Here is a 24,721-nt window from a genome sequence, read left to right on the forward strand (position 1 = left end):
ACAGTGTAGCTAAAACATTTAGCTTGGCAGTTTGCGTAGTAAGTGATCAAAAAAAAAGCTGTTATTGTTATTACTATTGTTACTATCTTATCTTTTTGCAAGGTGATATTCCTTACCAGTTTAATGATACCAACAAGATTTGAAGTGGATGCCTTGATGTTTACAGAAAGGGGTTATTTTTTAGGAATAAAACACTTTATTTTTATTATTATTAGCAACAGATAATTTTGTAAGTTTCCTGCCTAGAGGGGACACTCCTCTTACCTTGACGGTCTTATTGGATGGGGGTGAAGCTTTTTCTATTTCATGGATTTTTGCCTCCCTCACTGGGATGCTTTGAGCAAAAGGTCTGGTGTATAGTAGATGCTCAACCAATGCTTGTTGGATGGGTGGACAAGCGGTGCACCATGCTCACTGTGGCTAACGGGTGATTGGGTTCGGGAACGACCTGGCAGTTTCCCATAAACAGGGCGCCTGATGGAAGCATCTTCCCTTTGCAGAGTTGTTCCTGGGTGCTGGGAACATACCTTGGAGTCAGTCACTTAACTGAGTGTGATGGCCAGAGATAAAGGAGCTGGCAGGAAACTGAGATGCTATCTCTCAACTCGAAGACCAGGGAATGGGTTAGAGGGAGTGAATATGACCTTGACAGACAGGCGTACATCAACTGTGAGGGAAACTTCATTCATTCATTCATTCAGTGAACATTTCTGTGCTCAGTGCTGGGATGCAAGGAGATGCCCTGTTGGGGCCAAGTGAAAGAAGAGAACTGGTTGATGCATGAATCTCAAATAGACTTTTCAGGGACTTTGTCACACTTGGGGAGGATCTGGGGCCACTGTCTACTATAACAGGCAGGACTCTTACGGTTCTATCTGAGAGAAACTTATCTGGAGTCAACTTAAACAAAAGAAAATTTTTATTGGCTCATGTGACCTGAAACGGTCAGGTGTCTGCCTTCAGGCATGGCTGTATCCAGCTGCTCAAATGGTGTTATCTCATCCTACTCAGATCTTGGCTCAGCTTTTCCCCTGTATGGGTGGGCTTTGTTCTGAGCCAGGATTCTCCCCTGGCAGCTGTTTCACCACCTTGGCAGCTCCCAGGGAAAGAAAGCAGCTCTTTCCTAGGCTTTAGCAAATGTCCTGGGATTCCCCCTGATTGGACCAACTTGGATCCATGCATTTGCCCAAGCCGTTCCGACCACCTGGAATGTCTTTCTTTTACCTAAACCTAACCTATTTGTGCTTTGAGTCCTGCCTAAGCGCCACGGCTACTACTAAAAGCCTCCTCTCTTTCTGTCTTTATTGTTGTCTGCATTTTCTCTCTCTTGGGGCACAATCATCTTTTTTATGTCTTCTAATTCCAGCATGTCCTGGCTGCACCATGTTCATGTTAGGTAGACTAGGGTCCTTCATAGGCCAAAGCTTCCTTTTTCTGCCTTTCACTCTTCCCCCCTCACATAGTATAAAAAACAGGATCCGTGTTGAATGCATGCATGGATTTGGGGCGTTAAGAAGGATTTAATCGAGAAGCCAAATCTCAGGATGGCTCATGGGAGGTTTGTGGGCTAACAAAGTCCAAAGAGAAGCCCAGGAATTATCTTCTGAACCCCATCATTTGCAGAGGGTTCCAAAGCTTTGGATAGTCACACTGGCCAGGTGGGGAGCTGGGAAAAGGGGAAGAGCCTGATTCAAAAGCCAGGTTTCCCTGGTTCAAATTCCAGCTCTTCACCCTCTGGCTGTGTGATGCAGGGCAAGTTGCTTTACCTCGCTGTGGCCCTGGTTCCTCATCTATAAAATGAGATAATTCACACAACATATTGAAGGAAAGGATCTGGCACGCAGTATGGACTGCTGGCCATTATCTTTATTGCTGGGTTGTTTTCAGAGCCGCCAGGCCAGAAGAGGGGTTTTAAAGTCCGTTCCTGGTTACCAGAGGAGGAAACAGCAGCCCATTGAGCTTCAGAGACACCTGCAAGTTCATGGAACACCAAGAGTCAGATTGGCCCCACCTGGTGACCTTGACGCCTTTCAGGACCACCTGGGCTCGCAGCCAGCTGTGGCCCTCAGAGAATGTGGATGCTTCTTTTGAAGAAAGGACAGGGATAGGGAGGGGACCCTGTGGCTCCCATATTGGATGAATGGGGCGTGAGTCTTGGTGGTTCTACCCGAAACACTCTGTTTCTCCCAGCCCGGTTTTCCCAGGCATGCCTTATAACCTGTTCTCCTCTAAGGAGCCGTCCTTGGCTGATCTGTCCAGGGACCTGGGCTCATCGCTATCCCCAGAATTGACTCGGGGGCCACATTGAGGGTCAGGGCCCTGCGCTGGGGTGAGCCCCGTTCCCTGGGTAGTGACCTTCACTGCTTCTGGTGCTAAGATGTATGGCCTGCCTCTCCCCAGGCATTTATTTCTGCCTCTTCAGAAATATTTGGGGGTGATTAAAAGGAAATATTCATTTAACTGTAATGAAATGGGGTTTGGGGGTTTTGGAATGATCAGCCATGGCCTCGGGGGCCCGATGCTGGTTGATTTGATCACTGAGTTGATAGGCAATGGCTATTGATTTCTGTCCGCCTCCTCCCAGGAAGGGGCTGACGGAAGAGGTGACTCAGCAAAGGGGAGATGTTTTGAAATTCAGGAGAGGGCTAGTGTGGGAAGCTGGAAAGCTCTGTGTGTGTGTGTGTGTGTGTGTGCTCACGCACGTGTGCATGTGAGCTCTCCCTGCCTCTCCAGAGCCTATACTGCACACCCCCAGGGAGATGGGGAATGTAGATTGCTTCCTCTCCAGCTGCCTTTCCCAGGAGTATCAGGAGAATAACTGGGACTTTGGAGCCACACAGACCTGGGTTTGAAGCCTGCATCTGTCATTTCCCAGCTAGGTGGTAACCTTGTGCAAGTGGCTTCACCTCTCTGTGACTCAGTTTCCTCATCTGTAAAGTGGGTGAACAGTAATACCTGCTGCATGGCTGTTCAGAGACTTAATTGAGAATTTCTCTAATGGTAATTCATGGCAGCTCTGATTTCACTGATATTAACTAATAATGAGTCTTTTTTTTTTTTTTTTTTGAGACAGAGTCCCTCTCTGTTGCCCAGGTTGGAGTGCAGTGCCATGATCATGGCTCACTGCAGCCTTGACCTCCTGGGCTCAAGTGATACTCCCATCTCAGCCTCTTGAGTAGCTGGGACTACAGGCATATGCCACCACGCCTGGCTAATATTTTTATTTTTAGTAGACATGGGGTCTTGCTGTGTTGCCCAGGCTGGTCTCAAACTCTTGGGCCCAAGCGATCCCCCCACCTCAGCCTCTCAAGTAGCTGGAACTGTAGGCTGGTACCACCATACCTGGCTAATATTTTGTAAGGATAGGGTTTTGCCATGTTGCCTAGGCTGGTCTCAAACTCCTGGACTTAAACAATCCATCCACCTCGGCCTCACAGAGTGCTGGGATTACAGGCATGACCACAGTTGGAACTACAGGCAGGTGTCACCATGCCCAGCCCCAGCTAATATTTTTATTTTTAGTAGAGATGGGGTCTTGCTATGTTGCCCAGGCTGGTCTCAAACCCCTGGACTTAAGCAATTCACCCACCTTGGCCTCCCAAAGTGCTGGGATTACAGGCATGAGCCACTGCCCCCAGTCCTGGCTAATATTTTTATTTTTAGAGGAGATGGGGTCTTGCTATGTTGCCCAGGCTGGTCTCAAACTCTTGGGCTCAAGTAATCCTCTCACCTCAGCCCCAAAGTATTGGAATTACAGGTGTGCACCACCATATCTGGCCTAATAATGAGTCTTAATTCCTGATAGAAATAAGAAAAGGTACCAGGTAGGTGCCAAGGAAGGGGTGATAGATTTTGACTGAGGCAATCCTGGAAGACTTCCGCGAGAAGGGCCTTGAATGATGACACTTCCAACAACATGTGACAGAAAGGGGTGGGACAGAAAACACATTTCTGTTTCAGGAATTCATAGGCACAAAGGCAGGGAGGCATAGAATCTCTGGTGAGATGGAAGAACAGATGCTGTCCATTATGGCCGGGAGAGGAAAGAAGGACAGGGGACAACCTGGGGACAGGGAGAGGCAAGGATGTAGTGGAAGAGAAGTGTTGGGCTTTGTGTCAGCAGCTCAGTTGATAGGGTTGCTGGACAGGCTGTGTGCAGGCAAGGCCCACATGGTGGCAAGATTGTTGCATTTGAAATTCAGAAGCAATGATAACACGCAATGCCACCTTCCATTGGCTGGACAGTGTGTGCCAGGCATTGCGTTAACTTATACCATCTCATTAAATCCACACTTCTGTCCCCATTTTACAGGTGAGGAAACTGAGGCTCTTTGTAACATCTACAGGTGTACCCAAATGTACAGTTTTTGGTGACAGTGGGCCATGTCCCTTTGAATCACACCTAAGGTCTGCCAAGACCCCCCGGTGGCCTTCCTGCTCTGTGGCCAAGCCCACAGGCCCCTCACACAGCCTGCCCACCTGGTGTGCACCTGGAGTCCTTGAGCCCATGTAAGTTTCTCCTTTGCAGGAACTTTTTTGACATCTGACTGGGGTGCATCCATTCTTCTTCAGGATTTCCTGCCTCATCTAATCAGGCAAAGATGTCATGTACATGTCACTTACAATTCTTTTCTCCATGTTCCCAGCTAAGTTCTTCTGTTGCCTCAGGGAGTTCCGGGAGCTGCAGGTTTCACCTGGGGAGGGCCCAGTGCTGCAGTTCCCACCGTATTCTGTTCTTGCTGGCTCTAGGAAGTTGGGAGTATTGGGACATGTGCCCTGGCAGGCAGAATGCCCGTCCTCTAGGTGAGGGAGCAGAGGGTGCAGGGAATGGAAAGGTCTGGGATGGGGCTTCTAAGTTACAGTGAGAAAACAAATGCCTGAAATTAAAATTCAAGAGGATGAAAAGCAAATAAATGAGATAGGGCAGTTAGGGAAAGCTTTGGGTGTAATTTATTTAAACTTTTTTTTTTTAACTTTTCATTTTGAGATAATTTCAAAAAGACTGACAAAAAGTTACAAAAACAGTACAAAGAATTCCCCAGATTCCCTGAATGCTGACATCCAGCCTAACCACAACACAATTACAAAGTCAGAAAAATTAACGTGGCTGAAACACCATTACATAATGGACTGACCTGACTCAAATTTTGCCAAGTGTCCCACTGATGTCGTTTTTCTGGTCCAGAGTCCAGTTCTGGATCATGTGACGCATGGAGTTGTTATTTCCCCATAGTCTCCCTTAATCTCCAACAGTTCTTCAGTCTTCTTTTGTCTTTAATGGCCTTGACACTTTTGATGAAAACTGGCCATTTATCTTGAAGAATGTCCCTCCATTTGAGAATGCAGGGTGTTTACTTATGATTCGATTCAGGTTGTGCATTTTGGGCTACAGGAGTGATGTTGTGTCCTTCTCCATGCATTGGATCAGGAGGCACCACTGCTGTTAACTTTGGTCACTTGCTCAAGGTGAAGACTGGCTGGATCCTCTGCTGTAAAATTATTATTTTTCCCTTTGTAACTAATAAGTGCTTGTGTGGAAACATTTTGAGACAATGTAATACTCTCTGTCATCATTCTTTTGCCCAATAATTTTAGCATGCATCGATGCTTCTTGCTTGAAACAATTATTGCTATGGTGTTTGCCAAATGGTGATTTTCTGTTTCCGTCATTACTTCTACATTTATTAATTGAAGAGCTTTTTTCCTTCTTCCCCATTTATTTATCTATTCAGTTTTTTATTTATATCAGTGTGGACTCAGATTCATATTTTAATCTGTTTCCCCTCTCTCTCTGCCACCTCCATACCCACTGTCTCTACCCACTATCTTTTCTCTCTCTTCCCCCACCCCATCTCCCCTCTCTGTCTCCACCCATTTTCCCCCTTCTCTTTGCCCCACTCTCCTCGCCCCACTCTCCTCTCCTTCACTTTCTCTTTCTCCCTCTCTCTCTCTTTTTTTGCAACTTTTTTTCTTGCTGAAGAAATCAGGCTGTCCTGTAGAGCTTCTGTCCATTGGGTTTGGCTGAGTGCATCTTCATGGTGTCATTTAATGCTCTCCTCCATCCCCTGGGTCTCCTGTGAACTGGTGGTAACCCCAGAGGCTTGATCAGATGCCAGATTGACATTTTTGCCAAGACCACATTGCAGGTGGCCACATGCCCTTCTGGTAGAGGCACACGAGGTCTGGCTATCTCCCTTTCAGGGCATGGAGATTGATTGGTGGGTTCAGGAGCTGTCAGCCGGTCCATCCATTGTCAAGTTTCCCATCAGCTTTTCATCTGCTGGGTTTCATGACCACTGATAATCATTGCCTGGGTCCATGAATTCATTAGGGGTTGCTAAATGTGCTTACGTTCTTCCTGTCCCTCTTTCTCTCTCTTAGCTGGGCAATTTTCTCTACAGGGAAACCGCCCCTCATCAATTATTTGTTTACCCTGAAGGAAAGTATGTTTACAAAAGGGAAGATAGATGCTTAAATCTTTCTCTTTATTTGCTGGTTTTCAAAATAATGAGCTGGTTCCCTAACATCCTCCAAAGGTGGCCTACGAGAGTTTTAAAAAATATCATTGTAAGCCCATAGTTGCAAGTGTAACAGAAGTGTCTTAATCCATTTCAGTTACTGCCCTTATTTATGCTCCGACTGTCCCATCTCTGGCATGTGGGGGCCTCTGACCCCTCTGGACTGCCCCAGCGACCTTGGATGCCCTTCTTGCTTTCTGGGAGGACAAGTTGATCCAAGCTCATTCCATATGTTTCCCACCTCAGTCTTGGACTCAGGCTTTGCTCCAGGGATCCCTGGACTAATGGTATTTAGAGACCACAGTCTGGGTGCTGAAAGAACAAATGTACAAAACATCTGTTATCACACAGGTTGGGGCATTTTTGGTAGTCCACAGTGGATAGGATGGTGGAGAAGGGGAAAGGCAATGGCTTTGATCTTGGATCTCATCTCTTTCCTAACCCAGTTGCAGGTTAATGAGCCACTGGAAACCATTAAATTACTTCTCCAACTTCTTCATTTAGAAAGCAAGGGTGGATCTCCCCCGATCTCTAACAACTTCTTTTTGTTTTTTGGTTTGAGATAGGATCTCACTCTGTTGCCCAGGCTGGAGTTCAGTGGTACAATCATAGCTCACTGCATCCTCCAACTCCTAGGCTCAAGCCATCTTCCTGCCTCAGCCTCCAGAGTGGCTGGAACCACAGGTGCCCACCACCACACTCAACTAATTTTTTTTTTTTTTTTTTTAAGTAGAGACGAGGTCTTGCTTTGTTGTCCAGGCTGGTCTCAAACTCCTAGGCTCAAGCAATCCTCCCACCTCAGCCTCCTGAAGTGCTTCATCTCCAGCTTCTTAATTAGTATTGGCATTTTACTGGGGAAGGTCTTTGAGGTCAGAGACGCCCATAGACAACCAAGGCCACTTGTGATCCATCCATCCCCAGTTGGATGCTACATGCTTTTGTTTTGCTACTTGACATGATACAATCTAGCACAAGGAGCTTGTCACTGCTGTTTGCCTCTTAGCATCTTAGGTTTGAGGGGTGGCAGACAACAAGAGAGTTCACTGAGGGACCTCTTCTTCCCCCAGCAAATCCAGACCAGACAAATGCCATATAATATCCCTTCGCCAGAGTGACTCAAACATTAATACGGGCCTCCAAGTGTTACCTCTGCCTTTATCTGAGCAGGCTGCATTCTACATTTGAGGTTAAAACTCACATTTCATTTTTATATGCTGTGCTTAATCCAATAATGATTTCTTGTTACAAACAGAAATAATATCTTTCAGCATAGTTAATCAGAATAGACTTAATGCTGTCACTATTTATTAACCTTTGTTGAAAAGCAAGAAGTTTCTCTCTAATCTGTGATTGCTGGTCTTGTCAGGCTCTATCAAGTGAAAAAACAGTTTTGGCATTCATTAAAACAGTGCGAATCCTGAAATGACAATTGGAGCTGGATGGTATTTGGTGCATGAAATCTTCGTTGTGTTCACCAGGATAACTGAGAAGGCTGGGGAGGCGTGAAGGGGGAACCCACACGTTCAAAGGACTGAGTGTTTCATCCCCAAGTCCCTCTTGGATAAAGAAACTGTTCTTACGAATTGGGAAAGTGGGGCAGAGGATGGGGTGCAGGGGAGGGGAAGGGTGAGGCCTGCTGGTGCCTCTTGCCAGAGAAACATCATTAGTTCAAGACAATGGCTTTTGGCCAGGCACAGTGGCTGACGCCTGTAATCCCAGCACTTTGGGAGGCCGAGGTGGGCAGATCACCTGAGGTCAGGAGTTCGAGACCACCGTGGCCAACATGGTGAAACCCCATCTCTACTAAAAATACAAAAATTATCTGGGCATGGTGGCGTGCACCTGTAAACCCAGCTGCTCAGGAGGCTGAGGCAGGAGAATCGCTTGAACCCAGGAGGCGGAGGTTGCAGTGAGCCGAGATTGCATCACTGCACTCCAGTCTGGGTGACAGAATGAGACTCTGTCTCAAAAGAAAAAAAAAAGAGAGACAATGGCTTTGAACTTGGATCTCAGATGCCTCATCTCTTTCCCAACCCTATCCAGCGCTAATGATCTACTGGGAGTCATTTATTCACTTTTACTCCTCCCCACAACTTCTTTTTCATTTAGTAAACAAGGTTGGGTCTCCCCGATCTCCAAGGCCCACATTCAGTTGGAGTCCAGTTGAAGATGTCCATCAAAGCAAAATGGCAGCCATCAGATGTCAAACTTCTACGTTAATAGAATCCTTTGGCAGTGATCTCAACTGGTAGTCCTCAAACTTCAGCATGCATAAGAATCTCCTAGAGAGATTCCCCATTCCCAGGAATTTAATAGGCCCGGGGGTACTTGAACTTCTGCATTCCCAGGTGATGCTGATGCTGCCTAAAGCACACCACACTCTGAGTAGCAAGGCTCTGTCAAATAACAAGAAAACCCAACAGTACAGTTGGCCAATTGCTGGGCCTTTCTGGACTTGAATTACAGAGTTTGAGTCTTGCTAACGGCAGCAAGTCCCCTAAAGGCAAATTTGCCTTTAAAAAAAAAAGAAATGAAAGCTTTGAACTTGCAGAAGCCTCTTGCAAGGGGAAACGGTTCTCCCACGGGGCTTCTCCTTTCTTTTTCCCTCAAAGAACCCACAGACATGTTTCTCAGGAAGTCCCTGTGGGGTCTGTACCTCCCAAAGGTGATTTGGAGAAAAATCTAATCTAGTAAAGAAGTCCTGATGCTGGGAGGCCTGGGCGGGATATTCTGCTAAGCAAAGAAAGTGGTTGCTCAGGACTTGGGTGAGGGATCGAGGTCTGTGGCCAATTGATCTCTCCTCTCACAAGAAGGGTCGAGTGGCTCAGTGAGTTTTGCCCATGTCAACGGGGAGGTGAGCAGGTGCTGTTAATTATTTAGGAAGAATTAAGCAGTCTGGGTGGGTGGGTTTTATGCTCTGTTTGGTAATAAAGATTGCTGCAGAAAGGAATTTTAAAATTCAGTATTCTCATTTGCCTCATATTGCAAAGAAGCCGAACCTGGGTTTGACTGGTGGAAGCATCTGGAATTAGTGAACCACCTTCTTACAGTGCAGAAATCAATGTTTGCTGCATTAATTGCATGATGCTGAAACCCCGCTTTTTATTTCTGACTCGCAGAGCTATGGCCTAAGAAATCTCTCTTAAGCGGCGTTCTGGGGCTTTTGCTGTTTCCTTAATCTGTCTGGGCGTGGGGAAGGAATTGCTTCATCATGGAGGTGTGACACAGGGGGACGTGGGGGGAACTTTTGGACAAGCTGTGTGCTTTGGGGACCTAATGGGGAGGGCCTGGGAAGCCCACAGCAGGACTTGAGGATCTGGCTTCTCTTAGGTAGCCGTACTCTGTCCTGACTTCCATCTCCTGAGAGTTTCCAGCTCATCGAGTTCTTTTAGGTTAAAATAAGCCTTAATAAAGAAGTTCATGTTTTTCAGCTGGACAAATGTCCCTTGCTTCTCCTGTGTTTTATATTATAACCCTTTTGGAATGTGGACACCTTGATCCGAGGCATAACTTGGCCAGCATTTTCCTAAGTACTGGGTCATTGGACAGCACCACTGTGCTCACCCCGGCTGGGTTCAGCGTCTCTGCAGACTGAGCCTCAGTGCTTGGCACTTTGGACAGAAAGTGACGCGTATCTGAGGATAGACATATTTGGAGGATTTGAGGCATATTTTATTTGATTTGAGCCATATTTGGAGGAAAGCATAGGAGCTTGCCAGGGAGGGAGGAAAGTAAGGGCATCCCAGGCAGAGGGAACAGCATGAACAAAGACCCTGAGGCCTGGAGCCCCGAAGTTAATAGAGTAGGAGTGATGGAGGGGAGCCGGGAGGGGTAGAGAGGACCCGCTGGGGAGGAGCCTAGGAAGGTGCATCAGGCCTTGACCATCTGACTCAGAACTTGTGATTCTCTCCAGTAGATGGTGGCAAGCCTGGCAAAGTGTCTAAGCAGGGGATGAGATGACTGGTGGAGTTTTAATTTTCATACTGTAATTTTTTTGTTTTTGTGTATATTCCATGAGCTTTGACCACAATCAGAATATGGAACAGTTCCATCACCCCCCGAAATTTCCTTGTTGCTGCTCCTTTACATCCAACCCTTCCCCCACCCCCTACACCTGACAACTGTTCTCTGACCACATTGCTTTGCCTTTTTCCAAATGTCATGTAAATGGGATGATGCAATATGTGATCTTTTGAATCTAACTTCTTTAATTAATTAATTTTTTATTTTTATTTTTTGAGACAGAGTCTCGCTCTGTCACTCAGGCTGGAGTGCAGTGGCACGATCTCAGCTCACTGCAACCTCCACCTCCCAGGTTCAAGTGATTCTCCTGCCTCAGCTTCCTGAGTAGCTGGTACTATGGGCATGTGCCACCACACCCAGCTAATTTTTGTATTTTTATTAGAGATGGGGTTTCAAACCATGTTGGCCAGGCTGGTCTCGAACCCGTGACCTCAAGTGATCCACCTACCTCAGCTTCCCAAAGTGCAGGGATTACAGGCGTGAGCTGCCGCGTCTGGCCTCACTTCTTTAATTTAGCATAACACATTTGGGATTCATCCACATTGTTGCAAGTATCTGTAGTTTTTTCCTTTTTATTACTGAAAAGTGTTCCATTGTGTGGTCATAGCACAGTTTGTTTATTCATTGACCTGGTGAAAGATGTTCAAGTCATTTGCAGTTTCTACCAGTTTCAAATAAAGCTGCTAAACATTTGCATATAGGTTCTTGTTTGACCATAGCTTTTATCTCTCTAGGATACATACCTAGGAGTGGGATTGCTGGATCATTTGATAAGTGCATGTTTAACTTTTTAAGAGATTGCCAAATTTTTTCTAAAGTGGCTGTACCATTTTGCATTTCTACCAGTAACATATGAGAGTTTCAGTTGCTCTACAAGCTCACCAGCATTTGATATTATCATTTTTTTTTCTTTTTCAATTTTATGCATTCTAATAGGGGCATAGCAGTATCTCATTGTGGTTTTCATTTGCATTTCCCTAATGATTAATGATGTTGAGCATCTTTTCATTGCTTATTTGCTGTCCGCATGTCTGTTTTAGTGATGCTTCTCTTCATATATTTTGCCCATTGTTTAGTTGGGTTGTTTGTTTTCTTCTTGATGAATTTTGAGGATTCTTTATATATTCTGGGGATCAGTTCTCTGTTAGATAGGTGATTTGGAAATATTTTCTCCCAGTGTGTGGCTTGTGTTTTCATTCTCTGAAAGTGCAGGTAAAGATGCTGCAGCCGTGAATGTCTCTAACTCTGCCACACTCCAGCCATACTGGCCTTCTTTCAGTTTCTCAAGAAAATGAACCTCTTTCCTTCTCCAGGGCCTTGTCCTAAGCTGTGCCCTCTGTCTGGAATACACCTTCTCTCATATCTGCTGTAAGAAATCTTTGCTTAGCTCCAAAGATATTCTCCTATGTTTCTTTTGGAAGTGCTGTTGCTTTAGCATTTATGTTTGGGTTTGTGATCTGTCTCAAATTAATGTTTGTGTATGATGTGAGATAAGGGTTTGAGGGTCATTTTCTTTTTTCTTTATGGATATCCATTTGTTCTAGCACCATTTGCTGGAAAGATTTTATTTATCACTTTCCATTGTTTTGATTCCTTTATTCAGAAAGCAAATGAGCATCTAGGTGTGGATCTATTTCTTGGCATTTTATTCTTTTTCATTGATCAATATGTCTATCCTTATAGCATTACCGTACTTTATTGATTACTATATCTTCACAGTAAGTTCTGAAATTGGATAGATTAAGTCTTCCAACTTCATTCTTCTGTTTCAAAGTTTCTTTGGATATTCTGTGTCCTTTTAATTTTATGTAAATTTTAGAATTGGCTTTTCAATTTCTACAAGAAACAAACAAGCAAACCTGCTGGTATTTTGATTGACATTGCGTTGAATCTGTAGATCAATTTGGAGATAATAAAATTTCTTTTTTTTTTTTTTTTTTTTTTTTGAGATAGAGTCTTGCTCTGTCGCCCAGGCTAGAGTGCAGTGGCGTGATCTTGGCTCACTGCAAGCTCCACCTCCCAGGTTCACGCCATTCTCCTTCCTCAGGCTCCGGAGTAGCTGGGACTATAGGTGCCTGCCACCATGCCCGGCTAATTTTCTGTGTTTTTAGTAGAGATGGGGTTTCACCATGTTAGCCAGGATGGTCTCAATCTCCTGACCTCGTCATCTGCCCACCTTGGCCTTCCAAAATGCTGGATAAAATTTCTTAATAATATTGAATCTTCCAATCTATGAACATGGTATATCTCCATTTTCTACCCCATGCTCTTCCCCTGCTTACTCTTACTCCTCTATCAGGTGCCAGTTTAAGTGTTATCTTCTCAAGGAGGTCTTTGTTATCTCCTGACTCGATGATCCAGCTCCTGTTATACCCTCTGGTGCCCCCTCTTTTTCTTCTTGGAACTAATCACAGTGGTATTAATAATTATTAATGTGAGTATCTGTTTTGCATTTGTCTCCCCCACTAGACCATAAGTTCCATACAGGCAAAGATCAGGTCTGCCTTGTTCACAGACTAGCACACAGTAAGTTGTCAATGAAGATTTATAAATGAATGAATGAATGAATGAACGAATCCCCTCCTATTCTTTGACATAGATCTGAGAACACTGGCTGTTGTCATTCACAGTTTGATGAATACCTTGGTCTCTGTTTGCTGATGGAGAACCCAAGCCCTAATCCCTCACCCCTTTCTTGGCCTTCTGCCTAAGGCTTAGTTCCTGCTGATATGCATTATATGTTGAGAACTCCTATTCATTTGACAGGTAGATGTGTGTAATTATGATTTTTAAAAATGAAATTATACATCTACAGAGAATTTTTAGGTAATGATTATAATACAGAAGTTTAATTTATCTGGGGGAACGAAAGATGTTGCTTTCACAGCATCAGTCAGAGCATTGGAAAAACCAGTGGTGGAATCTTGATTGAATTAGGCTGTGCTTATAATTAGGAAATGCCAAGGCCTGCAGAATATTGAGAAGTGGTGAGGACAAAGTGATGCAATTAAGAGTCTCTTTTCCCCCCTTTCAGCAGTTTAGAAGCATTGTGTTGTTAACTAATTGGTTTGTGGATGCTACTTGGACTTATAGATTTCATTCTACATTTTGATCCCAAGTCAATATATAGGCCCTGGCATTAATTAAATCCCCAGGGTGAGCATTTCTATGGAAGACTTTAGGAAGAACTTTCTGAGAAGGAGTGTGATTGTTGGGACAAGTTCCCGAGGCATATTACAGGATGTTGGTGATTCAGAGCAAGTTGAGAGAGAGAAGAAGCCCAAGAATGGAGAGTCCTGTGGAGGACTCGACTTTTGGAAGAGACCAGAGATAGTTTACTCTGAATTGGATCTGGAGCTGGTTAATATAAACAAAACAGAAACTCAATTGGAATTCCTTCAGGGCTTTCCTGAAGAGCAATGGGAAAAAAAATCTAACTTTATCACAACCAGAGATCATAATTTCCTCCAACAATAATAGCTTATGTTTCTATGGTGCACTATCTCATTTTAGTTGGAGAACATTCTGGTAAAGCAAGGGCACATACATTCATCCTTATTATTTTCATACCACGGACTGTGACTGGCCTGAGGTTGCAGAGCTGGCAAGTGGCAGATTCAAATGTAAATCATTAGACAGCTAATACTGTGCTCCATTCCTTACACCTTGCCAATGAATTCATATTAATTGAAGTTTTCCTCTTAGAGGCATATGATCTAGGTTGAAAAGAGGGTAAGAGGTTTTAGATGAATGTTTGTGGTTTTGGAGAATATGGTGATATTGCTAATAGTAGTCATGAATTCCACTCATTGAGCAATGTATCAGTAAGTACAGGCTACATTATGCTGCAGTAACAAAAGACCCCCAAATTTCAGTGGCTAAACTTAACAAAGCAACTTTCATACTCGCATGACCCATTCATTGGCTACATGTCCATCATATATGGGCAGTGGACTTGGCTCATCAGTGTCTCTTTAGGGACCCAGGCTGATGGTGCAGCCACCAGCTCTGATGTGCCATTCACCATGCTAGAAGTATGGAGACCTCTAAGGGTCTTGTACCTATGGTAAAATGCTCCACTCTGGAAGTGACACATCACTTACTCATTGGCCAAAACTAGCAACTTGGCCTCATTCAACCACAAGAAGCCAATAAACACAATCTTACCTTGTGCATGGGAGAGAGAAATCCAGAAATATTTGACAAAACAGCATGAATGATGACCATAAGCACTCAGTAAACAACAAGGAGTTCCTCTGACCCTACAACAGACCTCCAAGATGACACTGAGAGCTAATGGTTATTGACTATTTACCACATGCCATGTACTGTTTACCTACAGAGCACTTTTAACCCCACAACAATCCTATCAGGTAGATACTCTGAGTATTTCCATTTCACAGATGAGAGGACTGAGATTCCAAGAGGTGAAGTTACTTGCCCAAGATCACACAGCTGAGGAAGCAGTAGAGCCACTTGGCTCCAGGTATTTGAATGCAGGCCAAGCTTGGCTACAGAACCCATATTATAATAACCCCATTTACTTGATGAGAAATCTCAGGCTCAGAGAAGCAAACCAACATGCCCAAGGTCACACAGCCAGGAAGCAGCAAGTCCTAGTTCCTTTGCCTTACCGTATTTCCCAGGTAAAGGCTGGGAAACCTCCCTTTGCAGTTTCAGTTGGTGATGACCAGACATCCTTCCCCAACTCTTTCCTGTGCAAGTGACTCCCAACTCTTGGCCTCTGATATGAATTCTGTGCTAGTGCTAGTTTATATCAGTTCACTAGAGCCAAATGTTAAATTTGCAAGACTTTTGCAAACTACTTACTAAACACAGATATTCAAAGGTAAGTTACATAAACTTACTAGAGTGTAATTATATTTCAAACCAGGTACTCAAAACTCATCACTTCCTAATTATTTTACTGCATTTTACTATTATATGCTCTTTAAGGTTATTTACATCCACCAAATGTGTATGGTGGAAATACAACATGTTAAAGCATGATAGAGTGCCCCTGTACATCTCTCCCTAGCTGTGCGCTCAGTGATGTCCAGTTGGTAGATTGAAATTGGCCATGATGGGAATATTTACACCCCAGAAATTGGCAAGCATTACCAGTCAGGGCTTTTTTCCCCCTGTAGATCCATTGTTAACCATTTACCAGCATACCACTGCCTGAAGCCCCCTGCCTCCACCATCAAGCTGTACCATTCGCCTCCACCATCAGCCTCAATCCAGGACCACCTGGCCCTCCCAATGGATCCAACTGGTCCCAGGGCCGGACCAGCTTCCATGAGGCTGCTGCATTGGGACAATAGTCCACATTCATCCTTGCAAACATGCTAGACTGATATTCCTCCCCCTAAGACAGTGGTTAGACCCTTGGCTGCCCATTAAAATCACCTGAGAGAGCTTAAAAAAATACAGATATACAGATTTTTTTTACAGGACACACCACCAGAGATTCTGATTTAATTGGTCTGGGGTGTGTCTGGCTTTTGGGATTTTTTCTAAGCTTTCCCACCAATGTGGAGAAGTACAACTCCAAGCAAACTCAGTGTGCAAAAAAACATGGGCTATCAAAGGAGAAAACATGTTAGGAAAATTGAGAAAGTTTGCCATGAGTTAAATCACCCATCTCCTAATCTGGGCTCCTATCAGATTGCAAAATGGGTGATTTAATTCATGGGAAACTTTCTCAGTTTTCCCAACAATAATCTGGAAGGAACAGCAGCAGAGGGCAAACCTTTTCTCTAGAGGGCCAGATGGTAAATATTTTTTACATTGTGGGCCATAGGGTCTCTGTTGCAGCTACTCACCTCTGCCATGGCCATGTAAAAGTAGCCATAGACAATCTGTAAAGGAAGATGCATGTGCAGGGTGCATGCCAGTCCCCATCTATGGTGTCCCTTACAGGGTAGCCTGCCCTGAGATTGTTCTTAAAATCTATGTACATTGGCTAGGCATGGTGGCTCATTACCTGTAATCCCAACACTTTGGTAGGCTGAGGTGGGTGGATCGCTTGAGTCCAGGAATTTGAGACCAGCCTGGGCAACATAGCGAGACCCCATCTTTAAAAAAAAAATTTTTTTTCTTCATTAAAAAAATAGAAAAATCTATGCACATAATTACCTTGAATGTTCCCACTGAGCCAACAGATTAGTTGGGTCTGTGGAGTGTCCCTCTGGCCCCCCAGATTCTTGAAGCAGTTTTAACTGTACTTACTCATCTGATAGGCAAAAACGTTGACTTGAGCATTGATGGACTGGAAGTTCTTTCAAGGGGAGGATCCCATGAGTCTTGTTCTCTCAGTCTAGTGCCCGACCTTTGGGTCTCATGTAACAACAAAAAAATGGTTGCATGAATACACTGAAAAAATAAATAACGTTTACTATTGTTAAAAAACATTATGAACTGGGCACAGTGGCTTGCGCCTGTAATCCCAACACTTTGGGGGGCCAAGGCGGGAGGATCACCTGAGGTCAGGAGTTCGAGACCAGCCTGGCCAACATGGCAAAACCCTGTCTCTACTAAAAATACAAAAATTAGCCAGGCATGGTGGCACGCGCCTGTAATCCCAGCTACTCAGGAGGCTGAGGCAGGAGAATAGTTTGCACCTGGGAGGTGAAGTTTGCAGTGAGTCAAGATCGCGGCACTGCACTCCAGCCTGGGCGACAGAGTGAGACTCCATCTCAAAAAAAAAAATTTTTTTTAAACATGGAGAATTGCAAAAGGGAATAGCCTGGAGAATCCCCACATCCCCATGGCCTTGCTCCATCATGATATTGAAGTCACTCTTTTGGTTGTGTTTCTCTAAATTCTATGAGGACAGCAACTCTCTTCATTATCCTCTATATCATTGCTATGCCCTGGTGTTGTGCCCGGGGTACAACACGTAGTAGGTGTTCGATAAACTTGGGTTGGATAAATGGAAGAATGAATGAATGATGAGCTGGTGCACTTAGATGTGATTTATAAGACTTCTAGGGGGATCACCGGCTATTACTTAGAACTATATTGTGGGTCAAATCACGTCTCCTTCCCCTTAAAACCACAAATAGCCGGGCTTCAGCATCTGCCGTGGACATCAGAATTCCTGAGAACCTTCTGAACCGTGTTGGCTCCCAGGCCCCACTCCTGGGAGTTGTTGGGCTGTTGAGTAGACTGACATATTGGGAAGCCTGGTAGAATCTCACAGGTGTAGGAAAATCTAGCTGCCTAGGGTTATAAAGGATGCCCTTTGTCCTCAACTCCTTTGACACCTTCTCTCTGGAGACCTGCTGAATAAGGAAGGGAGTAACCACAAGGAAAAAAAAAAAAAAGGCAACAAAAACCAACTGGTGTAATTTAAACCCCTTCAAAGTTACCAGGCTGCTGGAGATTAGCATAGAGAAAATATGTCGGGGTCCACTTTGATTTGCAATTTGAGATAAATGCGGGAAACGTGTTTGTGCTTCCTCGGAGAGGATTATGTTGCCTTGCAAGTTGGGTTGTTGTCACTTTTGATTTTAGAATACTTACTTGTGCCTCCAGTAATGAACAAAAACCAAACCACACTGAAACCAGCCCGGGGGGGTCCTGCTGTCTCAGAAGCTCAAGGTATTCCTGTTTCTACTGAATTGCTATTTCCAGATTCCTGCCTGTCACCCGCCAGACTTTTAAGGGTTCTACGCTTGGGCTGCATCGACGCTGGTAGTTTATTTCAGACATAAGCAAATTGTCTTAAAGTTGTTACCACAAAAAAAAAAAAAAAAAACAACCCACAACTAACTCGATATCTTATTTTTGAGGGGGTGAATCATTCTTTACTATATTGATTTAATGTGCATTAATAATATAGTCCTCGCTCCAATAACCTTTCTATGTCACCCAGTTGCCCTCAACCAGAGTAGCAGCGAACTCGGTCAAATTTTAGATGCATTAAACATGAGCATGGAACTTAAACTAGAAGGCAGATTCTGAAATAAATGTGTTTTTTCTTTCTTTTTGTTTTCTTTTCTTTTTTCTTTTTTTTTTTTTTTTTTTTTTTTTGAGACGGATTCTTGCTCTATCGCCCAAGCTGGAGGGCTATGGCGCGATCTTGACTCACTGCAACCTCCGCCTCATGGGTTCATGCGATTCTCATGCCTCAGCCTCCCGAGTAGCTGGGACTACAGGTTTGTGCCACCACACCCAGCTAGTAGAGGTGGGGTTTCATCATGTTGGCCAGGCTGGTCTCGAACTCCTGGCCTCAAGGGATCCGCCCATCTCTGCCTCCCAAAGTGCTGGGATTACAGGTGTGAGCCACTATGCCCGGCCAATAAACGTATTTTCTATAAATAGTACTTTACCCAGTAATTGGACTTTTAAGAAAAACAGGATTTTAAGATAATTTTTCCCCCATTGAAATATGACTGTATAAGTTATAGGCCACAGATGCTTTCATGGGAGGTGTCATTATAGGTATGAATCTGACAGTTCTTGAATGCAGGGGCATTTGGGGTAAGGTCTTGCCTTTCCAAATTCTTAGGTAACTGTTCAAGAGCCCCTTCCACCGAGACCTAAAATACATGTGCTATTTCCAGGTGCTACGAGTTCTCAAAAACAAATCATTCCTAGGAGGTTAAATTCCGTTTCCACAGCTCATATCAAAACACCATCCTCCATCCCTCATGCAGTCCCCTGCTGGAAGTTTCTGGTTTGACTGGCTGACTGCTCTGTGGTCTAAATATAGCCATTTAAAAAGAAGATTATGGCCCGTCCACCTGGGACTGCCAAAAAGCCTTTCACGAGAACTCTTGAAAGCCTGATGCCTTTAATCCTCAACTTTAATTTAAAGAAATCTTCTCAACTCATATTCCATTTTCTACATTCTCTCCCCCACCCGTCCTCCATGACAGATCTTTTAATTTCCCCTACCCCACCTTTCATTACCGAGGAATAAGACTCTTTACAAGTAGTTTCTAGAGTAAGGATGGGCTAAGCTGTTTTAATTTCTTGCAAGGATGTTTTTATAGAAGAAAATCAAGTCAACACTCAAGAGTATACACAGCCCTTTATGGAGATGGAGAGAATTAATCAGGCCAGAAAGTTCGGAATATAAAACGGGACGGGGGAGGGGAAGGATGTTTCATCAAACCGAACTGCTCTGGGAGATGCAAAGATAAAAGGATTTCCCTCTCCGAGTGCCTTAAATATTGGCAGGCAGTAGGGTCAAGATTTTTTCTTTTGTTGTTATGGAAAGCCATACAGATAATTAATGCTGTTGAAAGAAGATTGTTCTGTTGGCGTCTGCAAGGCTGGCCCCCTAGTCTGGGATCTTCTGGAAAGAAACAAGTCAGGGAAAAAAGTTATGCACCAGGGGAGATCCTGCCAATTTGCACGAGCAATAAATAATGTCCAGAGAGCAAACAGCCACCGGCTAGTTGCTCGTGGCTGCAGATATTTGATATGGGGACACAAGTCAGTGCATGCAGTGAACTTCAAATGGGGCAGGGGACTGACCCACCCCGCCCTGTCACAGGCTGCTTCTTTTAAACAATAATTATTAAAGAAAGGAAGTTGCAACAGAAGCCCAGGAAGGTTATGCATCGGCTTTGATATTTACAGTTTTTATTTCTTCCTGGATGGATAACTCCTGCTGTAATTTAATGGGCAGGAAATGTTTGATCGCCTCCTTGGATGTCCGATGCAGCCACAAGGTCTGGGAGTCCTGGCCAGGCCTGCTGGGCCCCAGGAGCCTTCCGTGTCTCTGGCTGACCCAGTCCTGAAGGGACTCAGAAAACTCAATAAACCCCAGAGTGATAACAGAAATAGCTAATGCTTACCCGGCATATAGTTTCTTTCTTTCTTTTTTTTGAGACAGGGTCTCCCTCTGTCGCCCAGGCTGAAGTGCAGTGGTGCCATCTTGGCTCACTGCAACCTCCGCCTCCCAGGCTCAAGTGATTTTCGTGCCTCAGCCTCCCAAATAGCTGGGATTACAGGTGCACACCACCACGCCCAGCTAATTTTTTGTATTTTTAGTAGAGACAGGGTTTTGCCATGTTGGCCAGGCTGGTCTCAAACTCCTGGTCTCAAGCAATCCACCAATCTCGGCCTCCCAAAGTGCTGGGATTAGAGGCATGAGCCACCACGCCCAGCCATTACCAGGCACTTTGTATGTGTTGGATCACATGCACTTTCTATACATTAGCTCACTTAATTTTTTTTTTGAGACAGGGTCTCACTGTATTGCCCAGGCTGGAATGCGGTGGCACAGTCATGGATCACAGCAACTTCCACCTCTCAGGCTCAAGCGATCCTCCTACCTCCACCTCCTGAGTAACTGAGACTATAGGTACATACCCCCACACCTAGCTAATTTTAGTGTTTTTGGTAGAGACGGGGTTTCACTATGTTGCCCAGGCTAATTTCAAACTCCTGAGCTCAAGCAATCCCCCTGCCTCGGCCTCCCAAAGTGCTGGGATTACAGGCGTGAGCCACCGCGCCCAGACAAACTTAATCCTCTTAAAACCCACAGAGGGTGATGCTCCTTTTGGTCCCCTTGTATTAATAAGGAAACAGGCTCAGAGGGGTAAAACACAGCAAAAGTCAGAGCTGGGATTTGAACCCAGGTCTTCTGGCTCTAGTCAACATTTTTTTCTAGATGCAGTGAAAGTCACATAACATAAAATTAACCATTTCAGAGTGAACAATTCAGTGGATTTAGTACATTCATAGTGTTGTGCCACCATCACCACTATCTAGGTCCCAAACATTTTTATTCCCCCAAAAGGAAACCGCATACCCCTGAGCAGTGTAGGGGCCAAGGGAAACTTCCCTTTCACTCTCTGAAGGTTCCTTGAAAATCGATGGATGAAAGGCAAATTCATAGGAGAAAAGGCATACAAATTTATTTGATCATCGTTTTACTGACATGGGAGCCTTCAGAATGAAGACCCAAAGATACAGGGAAAACTATTCATTTTTACGCTTAAGTTCAGTCAAGTGTGGACAGCCATGTAGAAACAGGATTGAACAAAAAGATATGATGAAATGCTCAGACACTGAGTTGGGAAGCCCAGTAAGGCCTATCTGTCTGGATTCTTCTTGGCCTCCGTGCAGCCTGCCTGCCTTGTCTGTGTGAGGCAGGACCCTTTCTGGATTGGGGCTCCTATGACCTACAGTCAAACAAGGCAGGTCAGATCATTTCTTTATGGCCAGTTTTTATATAGAAAGGTAGTGGGAAGTTCAAGTAATATTTTTAGGTTTTATGGCTGGTTTGGGGAAAAAGGAGTTCTGAGTTCTTTTTTTCTTTTTCTTTTTCGACTTTTATTTTAGATTCAGGGGGTACATGTGCAGGTTTGTTACCTGCTTATCTTGCCTGATGCTGAGGTTTCAGGTACAAATCCCATCACCCAGGTAATGAGTGTAGTACCCAACAGTTGGTTTTTTGACCCTTGCTTCCCTCCTTCCCTTCCCCTTCCAGGGGTCCCCACTGTCTATTGTTGCTATTTTGATGTCCATGAGTACCTGATGTTTAGCTCCCACATACAGGTGAGAACATGCGGTATTTAGTCTTCTGTTCCTATGTTAGTTTGCTTAGGAAAGGGTTCTGATTTCTAATGATTCACCTTGGGGAAGAGGATTCTAGTTTCTGTGGCCAGTCTCAGAGAATGAGGGACCAGAGACAGGAGGGCAGGAGAAGTCCGGAGAAGAACCTTTGCTTCTGAGGCTGCTTTTGAGGCCTTCATTTTGGGGTACCATTTTCTGAGCCCTAACAGGAGCAACTCCCCATTCTCTCAGCCCCTAGGAGCCACCAGTTTACATTCCCTCTCTATGGATTTACCTATTCTGGAATTTTTTTTTTTTTTTTTGAGACAGAGTGTCCCTCTGTCACCCAGGCTGGAGTACAGTGGTGTGATCTCAGCTCACTGCAACCTCCGCCTCTTGGGTTCAAGCGATTCTCCTGCCTCAGCCACCTGAGTAGCTGGGACTCCAGGCACGTGCCACCGCACCAGGCTAATTTTGTGTTTTTAGTAGAGACAAGGTTTTGCCATGTTGACCAGGCTGGTCTTGAACTCTTGGACTCAGGTGATCTGCCCTCCTCGGCCTTCCAAAGTCCTGGGATTGCAGGCATGTGCCACTGCGCCCGGCCTGGATATTTCATATAAACAAAATCCTCCACAGTGTAGCCTTTTATGTCTGGCATCATGTTTTCAAGGTTCATCCATGTTGGCACATGGATCAGTAATTCATTCCTTTTTATGGCTGCATAACATTCCATTGCCTAGATATATCACATTTTATGTATCCATTCATTTGTTGCTAGGAATGTGGCTTGTTTTTTCTTTTTGGCTGTTGCAAATAGTGCTGCTGCAGATTCCGCATGGATAGGATAATGAGGGAAGCAGAGCAGATGTGAGGCTTTAGGGAGTGGTGGAGACTGAGGCTAATTAGAGAATGGGCACCCAGGCAAATGGCTCTGAGGATTGCCAGACAGGAGTGCAAGCACAGTGTGGTCAGATCTTCCAATTTTTTTTAGAGAAAATGAAAATTTAGATCTTTATGTTAAATATCTGATATTCAAGAAAAAGCAGAAACTAAACGAAACACATCTGCAAAGGCCAAATGGGCCACCGGGTTATGAACTATATTAGGGTTCTCCAGAAAAACAGATTCAACACGATGTATTACGTTTGTTTGTATGTGGGGTGGTGGCGTGGGGGGGGCGGATTTATTATAAGGAATTGGCTCATGTGTTCATGGAGGCTGAGAAGTCCCGAGGTCTTTTTTTTTTTTTTTTAAGATGGAGTCTCACTCTGTTGCCCAGGCTGGAGTGCGGGGACATAATCTTGGCTCACTGCAACCTCTGCCTCTCAGGTTCAAGCGATTCTCCTGCCTCAGTCTCCCTAGTAGCTGGGATTACAGGCATGTGCTACCATCCCTGGCTAATTTTTATATTTTCAGTAGAGACGGGGTTTCACCATGTTGGCCAGTCTGGTCTCAAACTCCTGACCTCAAGTGATGATCCACCCACCTTGGCCTCCCAAAGTGCTGGGATTACAGGCAGAAGTCCCAAGATCTGAGTCAGCAAGCTGGAGACCCAGGAGAGCTGATGGCATAATTCCACTCTGAAGGCCAGCAGGCTCAAGAACCAGGAAGAGTCAGTGTTTCAGTTCCAGTCTGAAGGCAGGAAAAGACTGCTGTCCTGGCTCAAGTAGACAGGCAGGAGGAACTTCCTCTTACCCGAGGGAGGGTCAGCTTTTCTGTTCTGTTCAGGCTGTCAGCTGATTAGAAGAGGCCCACTCACATTAGGAAGGGCTGCCTGCTTTACTTGGTCTTCTGACTCAAATGTTCATCTCATCTGGAGGCCCCGTCACAGATACCCCCAGAATAATGTTTGGCCAAATATCTGGCTACCCCATGACCCAGTCAAGCTGACACATAAAATTAACCATCACAAGTCCACCCCTTGTCAACTTGGCACCCATATGCATCTCCTTAAGCCATGTTTAATCTCCAAGTAAAGATAATAACAAGGTCATAATCCCACGTAATGTGATACAACTATCCTGTGTACAACCAAAAATGCACTAACTCCTTCCTTGGAAGAGGAAGTAAAGGACTTCAGTGATGTTTACTCTTTTCCTTGATACCCTACAGCTTAAATACTGTGATGTAAAATTAACAATATTCAAGTACCGTAATATAAAGTCAATATATCTTATGTTACCTAATAAGGGAATGAGAAGAAAGAAAACAAAGATAATTGCTTAATATGTATCTTTATACACACACACACAAATAAGGAGGAAATACTCATGAAAATTACAGTCCTCAGTTCTGTAACTGATCATGTGGTCATAGCTGGTATAACTACTTTCTTCCACTTTGGGGTTCCCATTCCATATTCCCTTGGCCTTCGGCAAACAACTCAACTGGTCATGGTTCTTTACCTGGGCAAGTGACCCAACTTTCATTCCTGAAGGGTCTGGGCCATTAGCAGTCCTGCCTGGACTGGGTTGTAGTTTTCCATTGACCTTAGTTTGTCACAGGGCATGGTAAAACTAAGGGATCTCCTATATTCCAGGCATTCTTTCTTACCCCCATTGTGGCCTAGTTGTCCAGTGACCCTCTGATAGGGTCGTCACATCAGCCAGCACAGTAACTCCCTTCTTCGCCTGTTGTTCAGAGGCATGAGAATCCCAAAGTGG

The 24,721-nt window shown here is 44.6% G+C and overlaps 1 protein-coding gene across 7 annotated transcripts in view, besides 1 other annotated feature; it reads left to right on the forward strand.

Annotated features, from left to right (window-relative positions):
* Positions 1-24,721, forward strand: part of CUX2 (cut like homeobox 2) — a 316,390-nt gene that overhangs the window by 68,652 nt on the left and 223,017 nt on the right. The window lies entirely within an intron of this gene.
* Positions 1,853-2,354: an enhancer, noted in NCBI's record as "H3K27ac hESC enhancer chr12:111542473-111542974 (GRCh37/hg19 assembly coordinates)". NCBI's record gives its function as "activates a minimal SCP1, AML or CMV promoter by ChIP-STARR-seq in primed H9 embryonic stem cells {active_cell/tissue: H9 hESC(primed)}" and the evidence as "EXISTENCE:reporter gene assay evidence [ECO:0000049][PMID:30033119]".

The sequence above is a fragment of the Homo sapiens genome, chromosome 12 (genome assembly GCF_000001405.40).
Source record: "Homo sapiens chromosome 12, GRCh38.p14 Primary Assembly".
Taxonomy (NCBI): domain Eukaryota; kingdom Metazoa; phylum Chordata; class Mammalia; order Primates; family Hominidae; genus Homo; species Homo sapiens.